Below are 19,564 nucleotides of genomic sequence, written 5' to 3'. Positions count from 1 at the left end.
ACAAATACACACACTGTATTGTTAGTTATTAAAATTTTTGTGATGCCAATAGTAGTATTTCATCCTAATTTTAATTTGTATTTCCCTAATGACTAATGAGGTTTAGCATCCCTATAAGTGCTTATTTTCCATCCATACACTTTCTTGGGCAAATTTTCAGTTTGAATTTTTTTTCAATTATTTATTGGATTATTTGTTTTGTTATCATTGAGATTTGGGTGTTCTTTATTTATTCTGGATACAACGCCCTTCTTAGATATGCGAAATAAAATGTTTTCTTTCAGTCCATTGCTTGCTTGTGTTTTTACTTTTTTAAGAGGATATTTCAGAAGGCAGAAGCTCTAAAATTCCTAATGTTGATGAAATCCAATATATCATGATTTCTATTATTGATTGTGTTTCTGGAGTCTAACCAAAGCAATCGTTTCCTATCTCAAGATCACAAAGATTGTTCCTATATAATCTTTTGAAGATTTTATACCTTTGGGTTTTATTTTTAGGCACAAGATCTGTTTTGAGGTCAAGAATCAAGGGTTTGTTTGTTTGTTTGTTTATATGGATATCCAATTGTTCTGGCATTATTTGTTGAAAAGATGATAATTTCCACACTAGGAATTACCTTTACTCCTTTAGTTTTACCTCTACTCAAAGGAGTTACCTTCACTCCTTTGTTAAAACTTTATTGATCATATACCTATGTGTCTATTTCTGGACTCTCTATTCTGTTCCTTTAGTTTATGTATCTATAATTCTGACAGTACCAACTTGCTTTGAATAGTGTAGCTATAAAATAAATCTTAGATAGTGGCAGTATGCCATGTTTTTCAAAATGTTTAAGGTATTCTAATTCTCTTGTCTTTCCATATAAACTTTAAAATCAAATTGATGATTTTTTATAAGGATTTGCTGCTAGAATTTTAATTTAAATTGAGTTGAGGCTAAAGGTTAGTTTGAAAATAATTGGCATCTTATAAACATTTTTCCAATTCATGAAAAGCCTTCCAATTCATGAAAATGATATATCTCCATTCATTTAAATATGTGCAGAATTCACACATAATTTATTATGTTTTTGATGCTATTGTAAATGATTCATTTCAAAATAGTTAATTTTAAAAATGTATATTATTTTTAATTGACCACTTCTAATTGAATTTTGGCCTCAGACTGAAGGTTGCATTGCTGGCTTCCCCACTTTTGAGGTTCAGGGGCTCAGACTGGCTTCCTTACTTCTCAGCTTGTAGAAGGCCTATCTTGGGATTTCACCTTGTAATTGTGTGTCAATTCTCCTTAATAAAGTCCCCTTTATATGTATATATACATACATATAGCCTATTCTGTTCCTTTAGAGAACCCTGACTAATACAATATGGTAGTTCTATTTTTATTTATTTACTTTTTTTGAGGAAACTCCACACTATTTTCATAATGGTTGTAAAACTTTGCACCATCACCAACATTGTACAAGCGCTACCTATTCTCTACATCCTCACCAACAGTTGTTATCTTTCATCTTTCTGATAAAATCCACTCTAACCAGTGTGAGGTGAGATCTCACTGTGGTTTTAATTTTCATTTTCCTAATGATTAAGGATAATGAGCATTTTAAAATGAACTGCTTTGCCATTTGTTTATCTTCTTTTGAGAAGTGCCTATTTAGATTTTTTTGCTCAATTTTAAAATCTGGTTATTTGTTTTCTTGCTATTGAGATGTGCAAGTTTCTTATATATTTTGGATATTAAGCCTTATCAGATGTATGTTGTGCATGTATTTTTTCCCACTTTCTGGGTTGTCTTTTCACTTCATTAATTGTTTCTATTGCTGTGCAGAAGCTTTTCAGTTTGATGCAATCATATATGTCTATTGTTGCTTTTTTCCTAAGCTGTCAGGGTCATATCCAAAAAATCCTCTCCCAGACCAATGTCATGTAGTTTTTTCCTATGTTTTATTCTACTAGTTTTATAGTTTCAGGTGTTATGTTATATGTTTAATGCATTTGAAGTTGATTTTTGTGCTTGAATTAAGAAAAATGTCTAATTTCCTTCTTCTGCATGTGGCTAACCAGTTTTCACTGCACCATTCATTGAAGAGACTATCCTTTTCCCATTGTGTGTTCTTGGCACCTTTGTCAAAAAATAACACTGAAAATAAATATGTGGATTTATCTGGGCTCTTCATCTTGTTCCTTTCCTTGAAAAATCTCTTTTTATGCCAGTACCATGCTATTTTGATCATAATTGCTTTGTAACATACTTTGAAGTCAGGTAGTGTGATGTCTACAGTTTTGTTCTTTTAGTCCAAGATTGTTTGGCTGTTTCTAGTTGTTTGTTGTTTCATAAAAATATAGGAAATATTTTTCTATTTGTGTGAAAAAATGACATTGGAATTTGATAGAAAGTGATCTGTACATTGCTTTGGAAAATATAAAATTTTAAGATTACTAATTTTTGCAATTCATGAACATGAGGTATCTTTCCATTTACTTTGTTTTCTTCAATTTCTTTTTATCAGTGTTTTATAATTTTTTTAAGTAGGGAGTCTTTCACCCTGTAAATTTACAACTAAGTATTTCTCTCTTTTTTTGCTATTGTAAATGGGATTTTTAAAATTTTTATTTAAATAGTTTTGGGGGAACACGTGATTTTTGGTTACATGGATAAGTTCTTTAGTAGTGATTTCTGAGATTTGGATGCACCCATCACCCGAGCAGTGTAGACTGAACCCAATGTGTAGACTTTTATCCCTCATCCCTCTCTCTCCCTCCCCTCAAAGTCCGCAAAGTTTATTATATAATCCTTATGCATTTGTGTCCTCATTGCTTAGCTCCTACTTATAAGTAAAAACATACAATATTTGGTTTTTAATGCCTGAGTTACTTCACTTAGAATAATAATGGTCTCCAACTCCATCCAGGTTGCTGCAAATGCCATTATTTCATTCCTTTTTATGGCTGAGTAGTATTCCATGGTGTACATATACCAGACTTTCTTTATCCACTCATTGGTTGATGGGCATTTAGGCTGGTTCCATATTTTTGCAATTGCAAATTGTGCTGCTATAAACATGCATGTGTAAGTGTCTTTTTCATATAATGACTTCTTTCCCTTTGGGTAGATACCCGGTAGTGAGATTTTTGGTTCAAATGGTAATTCTACTTTTAGTTATTTAAGAAATCTCCATATTGTTTTCCACAGTGGTTGTACTAGTTTACATTCCAACCAGAAGTGTAAAAGTGTTACCTTTCACAACATCCACACCAACGTGTATTTTTTTTTTGAATTTTAAATTATGGCCATTCTTGCAGAAATTAGGTGGTATCTCATTGTGGTTTTAATTTACATTTCCCTGATATTTAGTTACGTTGAGCATTTTTTTTATGTTTGTAGGCCATTTGTATAATTTCTTTTGAGAATTGTCTATTCATGTCCTTTGCCTACTTTTTGATGGGAATATTAGTTTTTTTCTTGCTGATTTAAGTTTCTTGTAGATTCTGGATATTAGTCCTTTGTCAGATGCATAGTTTGCAAAGATTTATCTCCCACTCTGTGGATTGTCTGTTTACTCTGCTGATTATTTCTTTGGCTGGGCAAAAGCATTTCAGTATAATTAGGTCCCATCTATTTATTTTTGTTTTTGGGTGCTTGGTCATGAACTCTTTGCCTAAGCCAATGTCTAGAAGAGTTTTTCCAATGTTATCTTCTAGAAGTCTTATGGTTTCAGGTCTTAGATTCAAGTATTTTATCCATCTTGAGTTGATTTTCTTTATAAGGTGAGAGATGAGGATGCAGTTTCATACTTCTGCATGTGGTTTGAAAATTATCCCAGCACCATTTGTTGAATAGGGTGTTCTTTCTCCACTTTAGTTTTGTTTGCTTCGTCAAAGATCAGTTGGCTATAAGTATTTGGTTTTATTTCTAGGTTCTCTATTCTATTCTATTCTATTGGTCTATGTGCCTATTTTTATACAAGTACTGCTCTGTTTTGTAACTATAACCTTGTAGTATAGTTTGAAATCAGGTAATATGATGCCTCCAGATTTGTTCTTTTTGCTTAGTCTTGCATTGGCTATGCAGGCTCTTTTTTGGTTTCATATGAATTTTAGTATGGTTTTTCCTACTTTTGTGAAGAGTGATGATAATATTTTGATAGGAATTGCATTAAATTTGTAGATTGCTTTTGACAATATGGTAATTTTTACAATATCGATTCTACCCATACATGGGGTCCCTGGAATCACTACTCAACCATGTTTGCTTCCCATCCTATGGTAGTCTTAAGTAAAGCACCAAGGCTTGGTACATTAGCCAATTAGCACCTGGGGGAACAGATGCTCCTTTTGTGGATAATCACCCTCCAGCCCTTGCCTTTTTGCCCAGAGAAGGGTTAAAGAGTGCACCAGAGCTTGAGTGGTTTGAAGGTTGACAGCAAGGGCCATGCGAGGTCAGATTCTCCCTTTTCAGATAGTTATCCGCCTGACCCAATCTCCTGGCCTTGAGAAGTTTCAAGGATAGCACTGAGGCTGGAGGTGAAAACCAGCCAAGAATTCAAGCCTGGGAGACCAATTAACCATGTTTTCTTCAGAGCAGTGCTATTTGCAGAAAAAATGTAAACCAACCAACCATCCCTACAGTGGCCTCTGTGAGCGCCATTCTTGCTTTTTGTTTCTAACTGAAACCCGGTGGTCTAGCCCTACCAATACCCCCAATGTTTCTTATGGGGCTACACAAGAGAGTGTCTCCTGCAAGAAGTCTTAGAATGATGGAGATGATGAATGTTTGTCTCCAATTCTCTTTTCCCTCTGTAAAAATGATGATTCCTAGGAATCCTCTGTGTGTGGCATTGGGCCAGCTGGGAGAGAAATAACATAATCAAAGTGAAACAACTCCTCTTACTCTTTGTGTACAGCTGTTCTCAGTTCTGCAATCCAAGAAGTTGTCTCAGCCCCACTTTCATGTTCTGGAATATTCACAGGGGTATTCTTGCATGTGGATAGTTACTAGCTGGATTTTTGTGAAGAAGACTGGACCCAGAGAATTCTTATTTTGCCATCTTCCAAAATAGTTGATTTTCATTATAGAGAAGTATAATGATTTTTTGTATATTGACTTTGCACCCTGCAAACTTTCTAAACTTATTTATTAGTTCTAATAGTTTTTTTTTGTAGATTATTTGGTATTTTCTAAATAGATAATTGTATTGCCTAATAATAGAGACAGTTTTAGATCTTTTATTCCTGTTGGTATAGATTTTCTTTTTTTTTTTCTTGCCTCAGTAAACTGTCTGAAATATCGAGTGTGACATTTATAGGAGTGGTAAGAGTGTACATAATTGTCTTGTTTTCTATCTTTTTGGCAAGTGTTTAGTTTTCTATCATTAATAAGTTAGCTATCTTTTTGTGCAGATGTTCTTTATCAGGTTAAGAAAGTTCTCTTCTGTTCCTCTTTTGCTGAGAATTTTTATCATGAATGGATGTTGAATTTTGTTAATTTCATTTTCTTTTGTATATTCTGAGAGGATCAAGTGATTTTTCTCTAAATTGTTGATATAATGAATTATCCTAATTAAATGTCATATGCTGAAAAAAATCACATTCCCAGGATTAGTTGTACTTGGTCATGAGATATTAAATCTGCATTTTTTACAAATTAAACATTTCAACCTGGAAAGATTTACCATAGGGCAGAATATTCTGTTCAATATTTAAATCAGTGAAACAAAGCAATAGAAGGCAAGGTGTTAATAATAAGTATGTTAATAATAAGTAGCCAGACTCAAAATGATACTAAAGCAATGGATAGAGTTCTTGTAAGTTCATTTATTAGGGTCAAAAACACACAGTATGAGTTTAAGGTATGTATTTTTTTAAAGAAAAAAACCTTGGGATATTCCTTTTCATGGTAAACCTAATATGTAATGATATGTTATAAACTTCAACTTAACATTCTGGTAGTCTTATACTGCATTAATGGAAGGACAAAAAGTGAAAATGTTAGAAGTGATAATCTTGCTATGTGACTCTTAAAACCCATCTTTCCTCCATTCAGAGCACAACAATTTATATGTCTATTTACATGTATATATGTACACACACATATATACTGAAAATTTAAAGCCTTATTGTATTTGGTGTTAAGGGTTAACTTTAATTATTTTTAACATCTTGTGAAATTACATGTATTTCAAAAGTAAAAACACTAGAAAATACCTAATCATTAAAAATTAAATTAGTATATACTATTTTACATAAATTACATTAAATGGAGTAAAACTTAAAATGGGAATTATTCAGAGGAGAATAACCAAGAGTTTAAAGAGAAGAGAAATAATATCAAAAAGGAACTAGGAAGGAATTGGTGATGTTTCCCAATACTACATAATTTTTAGTTTGAAAGTGGTATGTATATTTTTAAGAGTTAAAAGTCAGAGCCTTACCTGGTAGTAAAGTGTTCTCTCTGGAAGTGGTGACGTCCTCATCACTGCAGTTTCAAGCTTAGAATATATGGACATTTCCCAAGCATGATGTAGACATAATTCAAGCTTACAGGTGAGAATCTGAAAAAAGAGAATAACACTAGCACACAAATGATCCATAAGCTATATTTTATCTTATTCATCTGGACAATAGACAATAAAATGGAAATGATTGTGCTCTGTTCTCTCAATTTCCTTGGCAACAGTGAGCTCAGTATGCTCCTAGAGGGAAAAATTGTATTCTCCAATGGGAAGGGTAGAGCTACTTTAAGGACTCTTATGGGTCAAAAATGCCGTTGCAAGAGGTGTGAATTTGTTTTTTACCTGTATGATAATAAGAGGTAGGAGAGGGAGGCTTAAGAGGACGCTCTAGGGTCAAATGAACCAAACGAAATGGGATGCTCGCCCCACTGCTCTGTGAGTGGCATCATGAGTGGCATATGTGTGAGCTTCATTATCAAATCAGAGCTCCGAATCATCGCAATAACCTCCTCTTCTATTCCATTCTTTTCAGACTAGAGCCCATGTTGAAAGCAAAGTGCTTTAATAGACTGCAAACAGCAAGAAAAGTTAAACGGGTCACACTTCTGTGAGAATGTGGGCTATGAAAAACACACAAGATGGCATATGTTCTAGGAGAATCCCTTAGATTGCCTTGAAGCCATATGGAGAACCAAAACTCATAGTCACACAATTTAAAAACTTGCATTTATCAGATCACCACCTGCCTTGTGGCTCTGTCTGAGTCTACTGCTTTCCTACTTCTGCCAGCATAAGTTTATGTTACACAATCTAATGACTGTCTTTCCTATTCATATCCTGTTTGGGCACAGGTTTGTTTGTTTTTTTAAACTTGTATTCCCTCTTAAAGTTGAAATCTTTAAGGGTTTCCCCCAGCTCTACTAGAGATATCTAAGAATGTGCTGTAATTTTATGGTGACCCATGTTTGCGGCACTGGTTGGTATATACAAACAGAAATGGTAGAGGAGGAAGGGAGCAAGTGTCTTGTTATGTTATTTATAAAGAAACTTTATGAAGTTTCTTTTTTCCTCTTGGCTAATAGGAAAATAGGTGCTTTGTAAATCTTCAGACTTGCTGTAAGCTTCATGTTTAATGAGGTAAGGGATATTCAACAGTTTTTCTAAGCACAGCACAGCTGGAATAAAATAGCCTAAGTGTTAGCAATTTGCATGCTCTATATACAATTGGTGATATTTGTACTGAGTATTTAAACAATTCACTTAAGGCAAACGGATTGAAACACAAAGATATACAGACACACTCATTGGTTCCCAAGTGTTTTTTGGTCCTTACAGTGATCCACGTAAGCCTTCTAACAAGACAGAAATCCTGTTTGACTGAACTACCTCATTTTAGCAAAGACATCACATCACTATGTAGTCCTTATTTTAGTGGCTTTGGCACAATTCCTTTATCTTTCCTCCCTTCTCTCTGCAGCTGAAAAATGAAAATCCTAAATAGTGTTTCATCTCTCTTAAAATCAATTTAATTGAGTAAACCTTGTGCTAGATCCTGCATGAGTTGCATTTTTCATTCTGCTTTTGAGGAAATCACACTGTTTTAGAAGGGAAGAAAATAAGCAAATAATTACTACATGTTCACAAATGGCCACAGAAGAGGGAGGGTTCTATGCACCTGAGAGTCATGGAAATTTTGACAGATGATTTATGTTCAAGTCATATTTTTGAAGAATGAATGAAAATGTTTTCTGATTGAAAGGTAAAGATATTGCAAGGGAGAGACTTGGGCTTTGCCTGTTTGGGAATCCACAAGCAGCTCAACTTGGCTGTCAGATAAATAAAGCATTGCTTTCAGTGAGTAGAGTGAGCTATTACTACAAGGAAGACTGGACAGATGGATCAGGGGAGATCAAGAAGGCCTAACATTCAATGCTAAGAAGTGTGGGCTTTATTCTGTAGAGAATTGGAGCCCTTTGTTGGATTTTAATCAGAAGAATAGTTTGATTAGATTTGATTTTAGAAAGTTTCATGGAGTCTAGATTACATTAAGACAAAACCAGAGACTGGAGAATCACTCAAGATACTACTGAAGATCGAGGCAAGAAATAAGTAGGGTTTGAACTACAGTGGGAGTGAAAAGAAGGGGGTGAACTAGAGAGATATTTCTGCAAAACTCAGTGATTAGATATTGTGGCAGAAGGTGAGAGAGCATAGAGGGTTAGGATTCAAGGGAAAGAAGGAGTCAAGGATGACATCATAATTTCAGGCATCTCTTATTTGGATTCTTTCTCTTCAGAAATATTGTCCGTTCTGTCCTTGCTACTCAAAGTGAGGCCCATGTATGTACTGGAAATATGGGCATCACCAGGAAGTTTATTGGAAGTGAAAATTATTGGGTTCTTTTACAGAACTGCTGGTGGCAAAGTTTGGGAATATTGCTCTCCCTGCGATTCCTATGCATACTAAAGAGTCAAAGAAGTGCATGAGAAGCATTGTTGTATGTGATTAAAACTAATATTCTATACATCCCTCCCATGAAAATGCTTCCTTTTCTCCCCAACATCTCAATTTCTACTTTGCTCCTGCCTGAAAGCTAAACAAAAGTACCCTGTAAGAGTAGTGTCAAAATTTGGAAGTGAGCACTTTTTTTCCAAAACTAAATTTGAGGCTCATTAAATTGTCGAGATGTTTCACAACCCACTTAGTGTAGTTCCAATATGGTATGTGCCTGCTTGTTATTGCATTAGACAAAAACACTTACAAAGAATGGACACCACAGTACTTGAACTTATGTCTATTTTCTCTCTACAGTTCTCATCTTGATACTACCAATGACAGCAGTGTCCCACTGTGATACCCTTTATTACAAATGCCTCCATTGTAAATAGTGCAGAAAAAGAGAATTTAAACTTACAATGCAATAGTGAAAGGATAGAAAACCTTCTTCCTAATTAGGCTCTTGCATTTGAAAAACTCCATTCTTTTCATGAGAGAAAATACTTCAGACTGAACATCAGGAAAAAAAGAAAGATGGTATATAAGAATTGAGACTAGAAGACTGACAGACTAAAGGGAATATCCAATTTGTTGCATTTCTGAATAGAGTTTTGTAGTGTTCCACCCTAGATTGTTTCACACTATCTACTGTTCTTTTTGTCTTTTCTCTCCTACAGTTGTAGTTTTTGGCGTTGTAATTTTCTCAATTCATGTCCTCCCTTTCAATTTATTATTCTCTTATGTTTTGAATGAGATATACTTTTAAATGAGTATACTACTTTTCCCTTCAAAGAAGCAAAATGAAAATGAAGATGCCTGCATGCAGAAAGGAAACAAGGAAAAAAGCAAGGAAGGTGACACTTAGAAAAAAAAGAAGATAATGGAAGTCCCCTATTGGGCTCTTACATAAACAAGTAGGAGTGAGGCAGTGCTAAGAATGCAATAGACAAAAAGACAGAGCAATAACCTCCACTTAGCATCTTTGAAAAAAAAAAATTGTGCCCTTTCTGCTACTATGAAGAAACAACTGGACCACCCAGGAGAGGTAAGAAGAGATTTCCCTATTTCTTTCACCAGAAAAACACATAAAGACACATTGGAGAAATTTCTTCCAAATTATATAAATGGTGTTATGCTGAGACTGCTTCTAAGCATAGATTTTTGAAAATCTCCATCAAATTAGTGCTGCCTCCTTTTAATCAGGTCCTGGAAGTATCACTTTACCCCATAGATACTGCCAGTGATTGACATGGCTTGGAATATTTTCTTTGAGGATGGTCTTAAGGATCACATTTATTTTTCTCTTGCTCTGCAGTGTTTTGGTTTGTTTGAATGGATAGGGTGCATTTATTTTGTTTATTCTTAAAACTGGCTGTTACCATGATGTGGTATGCAGAGCCCACGGTTAAATTCTTAGCATATGGCCCAGAAATAGGCACTCCTAGAGCCAGTACACGACTCTCTGATACTCATAGAATCAGAGAGAGAAGGTCAAGGCTGACTTCATCAATGACTGCTGCTACTAGGGCACCTTGTGTTTCAGTCCCAACTCAAGAGTTTATTTGTGGGATGTGCAGCTCCCATGACTCAACACCAGGTTTCCCTGGCTTTCCAAGTGTCTCTGAGAGAGCTGCCTAATCAGTCTTCCAAGTCATATGCCAGCTGGAAGGGATATGAAGTGAGTAGAATATGTCTATGTACTGTCAAGTAAATAGGCCCAAGGTGTGTGGTAGCATGGTATTTCTGGTTCAGCATTGTGTGTGCCTTTTTTTGGTTGTTGCCACACCATATTTTTATCATTAAAAATATAACTTTAACTTTTTAATTGACATTTAATAATTATTCATATTTATGGGATACATAGTGATGTTGTGATACACATATAGTAATCAGATTAAAGTGATTAGCATATCCATCATCTCAAATATTTATTTCTTTGTCTTTCAAACATACAATATCCTCTTTCTAGCTATTTGAAACTATATAATACATTCTTAACTACACTCATCTTACAGTGCCATAAGACACAATAATTAATTCTATTAGGTTGGTGCAAAAGTAATTGCTGTTTTTGCCATTATAGTGACAAAAGCCACAATTACTTTTGCACCAACCTAATATCTAGCTGTAATTTTATATACTTGTTTTTTAATCTATTTCTATTGCTCTTGCAGTTAGTTAAATCGACCCTAGAATCCAGAAGCAGGTTGGTCATCATTCCTCAATTTTAGTGGTAGTGTATTTTTAATCATGTTCCCTTACTCTTTATCAGTAATTATTTGAAGTATATACAAGCTTTGTACAGGCAGATTTGTCTTTCCTTATGCTAAGATATATACAGTACTCTTTTTTTTATTTTTAGGAAGTAGGCCATACTAAATATTGTTCTGTCTCCTCCTTGGTCTAAGAAAAATAAGTAGGAGTAACAGAAGTACTTTCTTTTTTTCAATTTGGTTTTTACTTTTGTTGAATCTTCCTTTGGTTGTGATGGCAAGCTCTGCAAAGAACAGTATCTTTCCACGGGTTGGGGACTGTCATGGAGGTTTCCATATGTGTACAAGAAAGCTACCACACCCATGGTCCTTCTGTTTTATTCCACCAGAGCTGAGAGGGGACTGTGCTGCACCCTGCATGTTGGAGTGGCATGCAGAGACTCCAACTGGGGGTGGAAACCAAGGCTCTCCTGAGTCTGGAGAGAGTTTAGAAGGATAGCCTGCTTGTTAATCTGGTAGGCAAATCAGAACATTCTAAGAAGTCAGAACCATATGGACAGGGATATGGAAAAATTTAACAACATGTAATGCTCAAAGAAACATTAGACGGTATTGAAATTCAGTGTGTGAATGACAAGGATAAGTGTATCAAATACAGCACACAAATGCAACGTGCTGGTGTAGACTGTAAAGACCTAGACCAGGGTATCTAAAAGCATAGTCTGTGGACCAGTTTTTCAAAATTACCTGGACTAATAGCTGAAAATGTAGATTCCCAAGCTCCCCTCCAGACTAATGGAATCAAGACTCTCTAAGATTGGGGCTTTAAGAGCTACTCTAATGATTTTGAAGTAAACTAAATTTGAAAAACAGGTTGTTATCCATCTCAGAGTTTTAAAAGTTTATATTCATCCATATAATGCTTTTCAGGTTACTTTATATTAGATAAATATTATATTAACTTTATATATGTATTTTATAAGTAGTTATATTAAATATCAGACCATGGAGAGGCTATAAAAATAAAAATGTATTTGAATTTCCTTTAAAGAAGGAGCATTCCTAAACCTGTTTATAAGCTGAAAACTTTAATTATTTCCTTTCAGTAATTTTGTTTCAGATGAATAGATCAGTGGAATTCAACAGCTGTTAAAACACAGTCAATTTCCTGATCATTATCAATTGGACTTGCATACTTCAGATTCAAAACCTTTTACTTTTTCTCATCCCGTATCTCCAAGTTCAGTCAATTTTTAATATAAAATCTCTCTCTAATAGATATTGAATTTCTCATGCCATCATCTGAACCCAAACCATTATTACATTATTCCTGAAAAGCTTCTTACCTGCTTATAACATATCAAAAATTCCACAATATTTCCATCATTCCAATTAATTTTTAAGGAGACCTACATTACACCCAATCTGATAAAGCAGGAAGCTGATACAGGGTATAACAATTAAACTGAAAAAAAAAGTGAAAAAAAGTGTGTAGACATGATTATCATGCTTCCAGAAAACATAGAAGGTATCATTGAAAAGCTATTATAATTAATAATGGAGGTCAGTAAGTTACCCAATAGCAAAATATATAAAAATCCATAGCCTTCCTATATAACAGAAAAATAAGTTAGAAGAGATAATGAAAAGAACATCACTCACAATGTCATCATCTTTAAGGTGCCTGAGTAATGTTGTGATCCTTGCAGAGGCTGAGTGATCTATTCCCCAGTCCCTTGAGGAAATGTTATGAAACAGTCCCAGAGCCACGTTTTTTGAGTTCAGATTCCAACTGCCACTTACTAGCTATACAACTGTAACACAAATAAGCCTATGCCTAAGATTCCTCATTTCTAAAATGAAATAGTTTTTGTAATAACATCTTATGAGAACTATATGGGTTGTATATGGATAAATATAGGTTATGACTCTATAATGGTATAATATTATGGGCTATGACTATTGCTATGGTTTTAATGTGTCTCCCAAATTTCAAGTGTTGAAAACTTAATCCCCCAAATCATATGTTGATTGCAGAGGGGCCTTTGGGAGTTAATTAGGATTAGATAAAGTCATCAGGTTGAGGCTCCCATGATGGGACTGGTGGTTTTATAAGGAGAAGAAGAGAGGCCAGAGCTGGCATGTGTGCTCTTGACCTCTCACCATGTGATGCCCTCTACCATGTTGTGACACAGCAAGAAGGCCCTCACCAGATGATAGCTCTAAGCTCTTGGAAATCTCACCCTCAAGAATTTTAAGAAGTAAATTTATTTTCTTTATAAAGTACTCAGTCTCAGGTGTTTAGTTATAGCAACAGAAAATCAACTAAAATACCTATATAATATTACTATACCAGCAATTCACTTAGAATGGTGTCTGGCACAAATGGGAAACACTGTATAAATCTTTGTGGTGATTATGTGGCATATGATTTAATGAAATGACATTGGTCTTGTGCCAACAGCTCATTACACAGCCTAACTTCAGAAATATTAGAATTGAGCCTGATGCCTGTTAAGACTCTTTCCAACCTTGAGATCTATCATTCATTGAATTTTTAATTTGATATTTTAATTTCTCACCTTCTATATGGCTGATATGGTTTGACTGTGTCTCCACCCAAATCTCAACTTAAATTGTATTTCCCAGAATTCCCACAAAATTATATTTCCCAGAAATCCCGCTGGAAGGACCCAGTGGGAGGTAATTGAATCAGGGGGGCCGGTCTTTCCCATGCTATTCTTATGATAGTGAATAAGTCTCACGAGATCTGATGAGTTTATCAGGTGTTTCTGCTTTTGCTTCTTCCTCATTTTGTCTTGCTGCCACCATGTAAGAAGTGTCTTTTTCCCTCAGCAATGATTATGGGACCTCCCCAGCCATGTGGAACTGTAAGTCAAATTAAACTTCCTTTTCTTCCCAGTCATGTGTATGTCTTTATCAGTAGTGTAAAAATGAATTAATACATTGGTTTCTGTTAGTTTGAAGACTGGGGGTGTGGTATATGTGTATTTGTATTCTCTCATCTAAAACAAATTAAATTTTTAAAAGGAGTGGAGCAATTTTAGCTAAAAATCTCCAAAACAAAAGTCTGCTTTATTTTCACCTGTACAATAAATTGAAACTAATGAAGTGGGTACCTGACACGGATGAACAGAAGGAGATCTGGGGATCTGTGCTGCTGAGAGGCTGTCTGAGCCAGCCTTGTCTGAGAGGAATTTGGAAAGGCAGTGTGGCATAATGTAAAGAATGTGGGTTCTAGTGCTACACAGCCAAGATTTTCATTTGAGTTCCTACATTTCCTATCTGGGGGAACTTAGTGCATCTCACTTAAATTATTAGCCTTGGTTTCTTTACTTCTAAAATAAAATTAAATAGGAATCTGATTCACAAGATTGTTGTGAGAGTAAAATTAGAAGCTTGGCAAAAATAAATGTCCTATAAATATCAAAAGTTAGGAATTTGCTACCCAAATAAACTTCTCTCTGTATGCTAAAACACAAAGCCCCCACAGGTGTACTAAGGCCTAACATTATATCATCATGGATTCGTGTGTGTGTGTGGTGGGAAGAGGGATCAATCTTCAGTTATCTTTGGCTGTTACATCTTTTTCCCCTTGATAAGAGGAAATCCATGCTCCATGTGAACTCTGATTGCTTATAGTGAGAAACAGACAAAAGTACCCCAGATGTGAAATGAAGGGAACAGAAGATCCCCTCACCATCCACCTAGAACCCATCTCTATCAGTGAGATATACAATAAGAAGGTCAATAAATATGGCTTTGAAATTTCATTTAATTGGTTAAGAAATGCATTTGAGACCAGAAATATATAGAGAAACATCTTCTGATATTCCACTTGAATGAAATTATTCCATGTGGGAATTTGTATTTTTCTATGTCTTTTCTAAAACTGTGAGAATAATCACAGACCAGGGTGGTAACTTATTTAATTATAAAATTAAACTTTTTATGTATTAATAAAATAGAAGGCCAGGTATAAAGGACAAAGGTGTTTGTGCGTATCAGCTACAACAAAGCAAAATAAATTTATATGCAACTATCTTCCTTAATCTACACTTTAAAAGCAGCCAGATACGTTCTCATCTAGTACCCTTCAGCCTGTATTTTACCATCCTCTCTCCCAAAACCTGAAAACTCAGCATTGTTCATGGCTATCATCCAAGCCTATCTTATTGAAATTGTTAGAGAAAAAAATATGTTGAAATTTGTCTAAGGAGTGAGGAATGAAAAAGGGAAATTAATATGACCACTATGCTATTACTATTTCAAATCTATAAAATGGTAGTGCTGTAGTTTTTATTTAATGTACTTTTTTTAAGTGAAATTTCTAAAAATCTATGCACTTATTAATGTTTTTTGGTTGCAAGCAAAATAAATCTGACTAATCAAAGTGAAAGAAAGAAAAATCGAGAGACTGCATATTGTTCATTGAGAATTTGAGGCATCTCACAGAATCAAAGGAAAGGTGGAAAAACATTTATCAGAGGAGTCCTCAGGTGGGCGTAGCAGGAAATAATGAATTTTCCTAAGAGAGCTGCCTATGGCGTGCATTTTTTAGTCACATGACTCAAAATGCACTTTCTGGGAGCTATAGTAACTAACCAGAAGTTGAACTCATGTAATCCATTTGCCAGGGAAAAAGTGGCATCTTGATTGACAGTTCCACCAGGACTTTGTAGAATGGAAAGGTGAGTTCTTCAGTGGAAAAATCAGAGGACAGTTCCACCAGGACTTTGTAGAATGGAAAGGTGAGTTCTTCAGTGGAAAAATCAGAGGAACAAACATAAAATTTGGCCAGTCAAAAATCCCCAGATGTTCACTAGACTTTTCACAACCACTTTCAAAGCATTCTTCTCTCCGTCACAGTGTTGAATTAGAGGCTGAACCTTCACGGGTGTGGATTGCAACTCTATACATGAGCCAGAGTCACCAAATGGTCCAAGGTGGGTGCTGTGGTGTATCCTCTTTACAAGTACAAACAACAACTTAGTCCAGGCGAACTGCATTGTGTTTTTATGCCCAGAATATCAATTCATTAAAATTTCCATATTGAATGAATAAAATTAGACCATGTGTTTTTCCATTTGCATAGTTTTAAAAATAGACATCGAATTTAGCATTTTTAATTTAAACAGTACAGGTGGTTTTTCTGTTACCCCCTTTTCCAAATTATTCACCTTTTTTCCCCTTTATGGAAATTTAAAAAGTCTCCATATATACACCAGAGATGCCAAATCACAAATGAAGAATCATGTTAAATACATTTCACTAGTGAGCACTCCAAAGATTTTTCTCCACTTCAGAAAATCAGACAAAAGAATTAACTTTGGTAATAAAATAAGTTTTGGTCTTATATTGCTATAATCTTTCTTCCAAGTCAAGGCCTTCACCCTGACTTGGAGAACTTAAAGTAATAACCTGTTTAGACATGAGGTGAAAAGTTTTGAAATTATCTGGTTGAGAAAAATAGTTGAATACTGACAAATAGTGGTCTTAGATAATTTTTTTAATTGAACTGACAGAAATTGTGATTGAAGGAACAAGACATGTTGATCTTAAAAAGATACAACTATATAAAGTATTAAACTATCTAGTGCTAGCTCCTCACATTGTGTGGGACAAGAGTGCTTTTTGGGGGAAGTGGGGGACAGAGAATCAGAAGCATATGTTCCAATTCAATTCCTTTTATTCAACCCCAAAATGTGATACAAAAAAAAGAACAGAAACTTTGATTAGATCACAGTGGACTCAAATAACATCTTCTAGATAACTACGTTTATGCTGGGAGATTGAAAGCTTTTTTATTCATCAGCTGCAAGTGTGAGGAAGAATGGCATAGAGAAAAGGGTAAGCCTTTGGAACCAAAGATCCTAAACTCCAAATGGCTGCTTCAGTTCCAGATGTATAATCCTTGCAAGTTATTTAATGTCCTGCTGAATCATGTTCCCTAATAATATTCTATAGGCTTTTTGAAAGGATTGAAAACAAATCTAAAATGACCAGGAAATTATTTGGCATAAACCATGGAATTATCTAGCTAAATAAATAATAGCCAGTGTAAAACTTTCTTATAATAAAAAAATTATCATGGGAGACTGAACTTTTATCCTGATTTTACCTAGTACTCCAATTTAAAAGAAATGTGAAATATTCAAACAAAAACAGGCCCTGACTTGGCCTGGGTTTCTAAGGGATGCTGTTCATTTGACCTTCTTACTCCAGACACAGAATAGTGACTACAAATAATACATGAGCTCAACAAGTATGAGTTTCTTAAATATAGCTTTTGGATTTCTTTAACTTGGATTTACATAAAACCTGCAAAAGTATTTACTATAAAAAAGGTGAATCCACAGGATAAAATAATCTGCTTACAGCCTGGTTGTATAATAACTCTGTGCTTTGGGTCTAGGCTCTAAACGTCTTTTGATGTGTGGTTGTATGTCATTCACAGAAGCATGTGTGTGACTCCTAACCACAATGTAAAGCTCCTGCTACCAATCCATGTAAATATTAGAGCTATAATAAACTAATTTGCATGTGTTCTTAATTCCTGTGTCTGTAATTAATAGAATTTCCATTTTTATTTTACAATGTGTCAGTTACATTTTAGATATCCAAGCCAAATTTAGTCAAGCAATTGTTAGCATATTACTTTCTTAAGGTGAAGTGTCATGCAGAAATGCTGGAATTTACTCTATTGCTATTTAAATGCAGCAATCATGAAAATGATTGTTCCTGATAGAGTATCTATGCTGGGGAGAGATGCTGTATTAGACATTCTCCCAATTTTAACTCACTGAATACTGCAAATGATGAATTATGTATTGGATCCACAACTTAAAGATATGGAAACAAGATTTCATCGCTAAGTAAATGAGATATTTCATATCATGCAGCCTGTGAGAAACAGATCTCAGATTTGAATCTAGTTCCATATGACTGCAAAGCCCACTCCATAACAACCTCCAGTGGTGCTGTGAGTACCACATCTTAAACGCATAAACTCTAGATTTGAATGACTTAACATCCCAGCTCTGCCACTAAATTCAATTGTATAAATTAATAATAATAATAATATTTATTCATCAATATTAATACTACCAGTGATAACAACGAATAACAATAGGGATTTCATGATGATTACATGAGTAAAGCAACTTAAGAGTGCTTTTAAAGAAAGCAAAATTAATACAAGGATACTGTCAGTGAAGCATTCTCTAAGGGTTATTAGGAGAAATACTTAGAGGATTCTTGAAACTTTGCCAACCTCATAGGTATGACCTTTACTGTTCTCTTAACAGAGACCCTTTTAGTTAGAATAGTCGTGGTTACTTATACAGTGCTTTTCATTTTAATAATTCTTTGCTCATTTACCCATGGTTTACACAGCCAATTACAGTGTAAAATGCAGAAAACAGCAAGATTTCATTTGCATTTTAGAATCTGATTAGATTCTATATTGCTTAGCTGGTTTATTTATTCTGTGTGTAAATTGTGTTTTGTTCATTTAAGTTTTCTGTGGACTCTATGTGGTGATATCAAAACCATTACACTTAACTGAAATAAATCTGGCTACGAGGCTACTAATTTATCCTCTTTCCTTCTCTCTCTTGGTTGTAGTCACGGAGGAGCACACAATAAGCCAAATCAGCAATAAAACAGTGATTTATTACCGATAAACTTTATTACTGATAAAATACCGGAGAATGGGGCAATGCCTTCTCTGTCTCTCTGAGAACCTAAGACTGTGGCCCAGAAGCACCCAGAGTGGTCTACCCAGTGACAAAGGAGAATTAGAAGAAGAGCAAAAATATGCAAACTTCTATCCGTAAAGAAAAAGGTGACCTTGCTCTACACACTTATGTTAGGTATAAAGAGAGGAAATAAAAATAGAGAAGAGGTCACACATGAACACTAAACTTTATTTTGAACCAATAAGAAATGATGTAACATGTCAAGTTTTCTCCACTTTTCCAGGTCAAATGCCACACTTCTTCAAATAGGAGCCCATATGACTCAGCCCCAGCCTGATATCCAATCTTCTCTCTCACCACTCTTAGCCTCACTCACAAAATTCTAGCCACTGTAGTTCTTGATCAGTCCTTTGTACTTGGTCCTGAAACAATTTGCTACCTGATTTTATCATGATTCTCAGGTTCTTATCATTCTAGTCTCAGTTCAAAGGTCACCACCTTAGAAAGACATTCAATAACAATACAAATACAAAGTAGTCCTCTTGTTACTGTGTATAATATTGCAAATACAAAGTAGTTCCCTGGTCACTATTATATAATCCTGATCTATTTATAGTATCTGAAATTATCCTGCTCATTTGTTTGTTTACTTGTTTATTGGATGACTCATCCTACTAAAT

At 34.8% G+C, this 19,564-nt stretch overlaps 1 long non-coding RNA gene across 3 annotated transcripts in view; it reads right to left on the bottom strand.

Annotated features, from left to right (window-relative positions):
* Window positions 1–19,564, bottom strand: part of LOC105374510 (uncharacterized) — a 428,164-nt gene that overhangs the window by 31,099 nt on the left and 377,501 nt on the right. For all 3 annotated transcript variants that reach the window (XR_001741602.2, XR_001741601.2, XR_925445.3), the window contains one exon: window positions 6,434–6,553. This is a non-coding gene — a long non-coding RNA (uncharacterized LOC105374510). The remainder of the gene's footprint in view (window positions 1–6,433; window positions 6,554–19,564) is intronic.

The sequence above is a fragment of the Homo sapiens genome, chromosome 4, assembly GCF_000001405.40.
Source record: "Homo sapiens chromosome 4, GRCh38.p14 Primary Assembly".
Lineage (NCBI taxonomy): Eukaryota > Metazoa > Chordata > Mammalia > Primates > Hominidae > Homo > Homo sapiens.
Note: the sequence above shows the minus strand (reverse complement) of the source record. Positions and strands in the feature narration are given on the sequence as shown.